We start from the raw sequence: 4,662 nt of genomic DNA, 5'->3' as shown, positions 1-4,662 counted from the left end.
TGCTTTATATAAAGCATCTCCTCTTAAATTACCAAGAAGTACAGGAATCAACAAAGGTACATCAGAGGCTACCTGAACTGGCAAAAAAACAAGCCAAAAAGTTAGAGATGTAGACTTAAACACCTTTTAACTTATCAATTTTTATCAATTTTACATAATATGTCATTTTCTGTTTCCAAGAGAGTTTACATTTGAAGTTCACTTCGCGTTTGTGTAAGTGACATGAATACCTCCCAAGAAGCCTTTGTAACTGCCTAACGGGTTCACCTTACTCATTGCCTGGAGAGAGATGATTTATCAAGACAGCAGAATTGCAGTAGAGAAAGAGTTATTCACACAGAGCTGGCTGTGTAGGAGAACAGAGTTTTATCATTACTCAAATTAGCCTCACAAGCATTTGTGGATCCGAGTTTTTAAAGATAATTTGGTGGATGGAGGTGCCCAGTGAGTCAGGAGTGATGATTGGTTCTGTTGGAGATGAAATTATAGGGAGTTAAAGCTTTCCTCTTGCACTGAGTCATTCCTGGGTGGGGGGTCACAAGATCAGAATGATGAAAATTTTTGCTAGGCTCACAGCAGGGAGCTCCTGTCTACCCAGGCAACCTCTGGCTTGTGCTCCAGCCTGCAGCCACTGTGATTGTATACTCAGCCCCTGGCGGGAGGGAGCATGTGAGCGAGTGAGTGCAGGATCCAGCCAGTCACTCCGAGTGCTGACACTCAGAGTGCTGCATGAGTAGGCTCCATGCAGGGCCCACAGCAAGATCAGGAGTATCACCCTGAGGGCAACATGGAAGTGCCCAACAGGCAGGGGTGTCTGCAACCCCAAAGCCCAAAATAGGGAATTACAGTGTGCTAATTACTTCTTTTAGTTCTGTCATCTGCAGCTCAACAGATGGTGGCGTGTTAGCAGCTCAGTCAACCCCATATCCCATTCTGACCCATGGCTCTGGGACTGGCTCAGCTTCACTGCTGCTCCTATGACATGGGGTGGTTGCCTTCTTCTGGTGAAGGCAGAGGGCCAGTGTTACAGTCTTTCTAGGTACCTGTGTTTGGTTGTTCTGAGCTCTTGTCAGGAGGTTATGCTGACAATTAAAGGGATGAGGATGGATAATTTTATTGACCAATGAAACAGCTTTCAGCAGAGAGGAGATGGGAAGGTGGGGTCATTTCTCTCAGTGTGGCTGAGCCTGGGGGTTCTTATAGGCATAGGATGGGAGGTGGTGGGCTGCAGGTAGTACAGGAAAAGGTAACATTCAATTGGTTAAAAAGCATTATTCAGAAACAACAGTTGGGAAAGGGCAGGCAAACAGGAAGAGAAGTTCTCACTCTGGGTCATGTATTTTATCTGGAACCAGTAGTCCAGGCTGTTAATTGGCTCAAAGGTGGAGTTTTACTTGGGACCCGCCCCTATTTTTCTAGGTGTTAGCCTGCCTCCTGCCACTATCAACATGAGCCAGTTTATTGATATGGTGGTGCCAGCTGATCCATCAAGTGCAGGGTCTGCAAAATATCTCAAGCAATGATCTTAGGTTTTATAATAGTGATGTTATCCCCAGGAGCAATGAGAGGAGGGTCAGAATCTTGTAGCCTCCAGCTGCATGACTCCTAAACCATAATTTCTAATGTTGTGGCTAAATTGTTAGTCCTACAAAGGCAGTTTAGTCCCTGGGTAAGAAGGGGGTTTATTTCGGGAAAGGATTGTTACTGTCTTTGTTTTAAACAATAAACTAAGTTCCTCCCAAAGTTAGTTGGGTGTAACTACCTTTGGAATGAACAAGGACCATTGGAGATTATTAACAGAAGCAAGATGGGAGGGCGGGGCCAAGATGGCTGACTAGAAGCAGTGGCGATCTGAGACTCCCATTGAAAGTAACCATAACAGTGTGTGAATCCTGCTCTGGCAACTGAGCTATGCAGGTTCTGTCATCAGAACTGACTAGGTGGCTGGCATGACCCATGGAGAGGAAAAAAGAGCAGTGTGGTATGATAGCTCACCTGAGAGCTACATGGGGCAAGGGAGCCCCCATCCCCCAGCCAAGGGAGGTGGTAAGTGAGTGGGGAAAACATCCTTTTTTCCATGGAACTGTGCAACCCATGGATAGGAAAATACCACTTGTAAGCCCATGCCACCAGGCCCTAGGGTCCCAACCATCGAGCCAGGCAGATTCTCAACAATCATTAAGCTGGAATCTGCTTAACCCTGCAGAGCTGCTGATGGGAGAGGTGACAAGCACCACAGCTGCCAACTGTGGCTGCCTGCTATCTAAGCCTTTGAGCTCCTCAGGGAAGGGGCAGCAGCACTGGGACTGATAGCCGTCTAACACACTAAGTTCCCAGGGCAGGGGAACAGGGCAGCCATCTCTATAGCTCTAAGCCATGCTTTTCCCTGGTGGAGCTGGAGAGTCTGGACAGCTTGGTTGCAAGAGGTATTCCCTACAGCCCAATACACCAACTGTAGCAGACCGTGAACAAAGTGCCTTTTCAGGCCTGACCTTTACCTATTCCACATCACTGGGCGGGCCTCCCTGCAGGAACTCCAACAACTCCAGCTAGGGGCTTAGGGACAGAACTCTGATATCCCTGGACCTGAGCCCCTAGGGAGAGTGTTGGCTGCAGTCTCCAAGGACCAGCAGACTTAGACTTTCCTCCTGCTAGTTCTAAGGAATCTGGGCAGCCCAGACACAAGGGTTTCCCTCTAGCAAAGCACACCTCCTCCTTCAAGGGATAAAGTGCTTTGTTATATGGGTCCTGCTCACCATGCCACCCAACTGTGTGAGACCATCCAACAGGGTCTGTCAGACATTCTATACTAGAGCGTTCCTCCTGGCTTCAGGTTGGTGCTCCCCAAGGTCAGAGATCCCAGAGAAAGGAGCAGGCACCCATCTTTGCTGTTCTCCAGCCTCCTTGAGTGACATCTCCAGGCACAGGAGTGAACAAGATGAATAGGGCCTGAGTGAACCCCCAATACACTTCAGCAACCCTAAAGAAGAGTGACCTGACTATTGCTAGAAAAACAAACAGAAAGCAACAACAACAGCATCAACAAAAAAATTGCCCACAAAAACCCCATCCAAGGGTCAGCAGACTCAAAGATCAATACTAGACAAACTAATGAACGTGAGAAAGAATCAATGAAAAATGTTGAAAACCTAAAGGACCAGAGTACCTTTTCTCCCAATGATCGCAACACCTCTCAAACAAGGACACAGAACTGGATGGAAGATGAGATGGACAAATTGACAGAAGTAGGCTTCAGAAGCTGGGTAATAACAAACTCCACTGATCTAAAGGAGCATGTTCTAACCCAATGCAAAGAAGCTAAGAATCTTGATAAAAGGTTACAGGAGCCTCTAAATAGAATAACCACTTTAGAGAGGAATATAAATGACTTGATGGAGCTGAAAAACACAGCACAACAACTATGTAAAGCATACACAAGTATCAATAGCGAAATCAACCAAGCAGAAGAAAAGATATCAGAGTTTAAAGACCATCTTGCTGAAATAAGGCATGCAGACAAGAGTAGAGAAAAAAGAGTGAAAATGAATGAACAAAACCTCCAAAATACATGGGACTATGTAAAAAGGCCTAACCTATGATTCACTGGAGTACTTAAAGGACAAGGAGAATGAAACCAAGTTGGAAAACACACTTCAGGATATTATCCAGAACAACTTCTCCAAACTAGCAAGACAGGCCAACATTCAAATTCAGGAAATACAGAGGAGACCACTAAGATACTCCACAAGAAGATCAACCCCAAGGAACCTAATCATCAGATTCTCCAGGGTCGAAATGAAGAAAATAAATGTTAAGGGCAGCCAGAGAGAAAGGCCAGGTCACCTGCAAAGGGAAGCCCATCAGACTAACAGTGGAGTTCTCAGCAGAAACCCAACAAGTCAGAATAGAGTGGGGGTGAATTCAACATTCTTACAGAAAAGAACTTTTAACCCAGAATTTCATATCTACCCAAACTAAGATTCATAAGAGAAGGAGAAATAAAATATTTTCCAGACAAGCAAATGCTGAGGGATTTCATCACTCACAGGTCTGCATTGCAAGAGCTCCTGAAGGAAGCACTAGATATAAAAAGGAAAACCAGTAACAGCTACTGCAAACACACACCAAAATATAAGGACCAATGACACTGTGAAGAAATTGCATCAACTCATGTGCAAAATAACCAGATAGCATCATGATGACAGGATCAAATTCACACATAACAATGTTTATCTTAAATGTAAATGGGCCAAATGCCCCAGTTAAAAGACACGGACTGGCAAATTAGATAAAGAATCAAGACTCCCTGGGGGTGCTGTATTCAGGAGACCCATCTCATGTACAAAGACAGACATAGCTCAAAATAAAGGGATGGAGAAAGTTTACCAAGCAAATGGAAAGTAAAAGAAAGCAAGGGTTGCAATCCTAGTCTCTGAAAAAATAGACTTCAAAGCAACAAAGAAAAAAAGACAAAGAAGGGCATTATATAATGGTGAAGGGATCACTTCAACAAGAAGAGCTAACTATCCTAAATACATATGCACCCAATACAGGAGCACCTAGATTCATAAAACAACTTCTTAGGGACCTACAAAGAGACTTAGACTCCCACACAATAATAGTGGGAGACTTTAACACCCTGTTGTCAATATTAGATAGATC

The sequence above is a fragment of the Homo sapiens genome, chromosome 4 (assembly GCF_000001405.40).
Source record: "Homo sapiens chromosome 4, GRCh38.p14 Primary Assembly".
In the NCBI taxonomy this organism is placed as follows: Eukaryota; Metazoa; Chordata; class Mammalia; order Primates; family Hominidae; genus Homo; species Homo sapiens.
The sequence above is the reverse complement of the archived record's forward strand: the minus strand, read 5'-3'. Positions refer to the sequence as shown.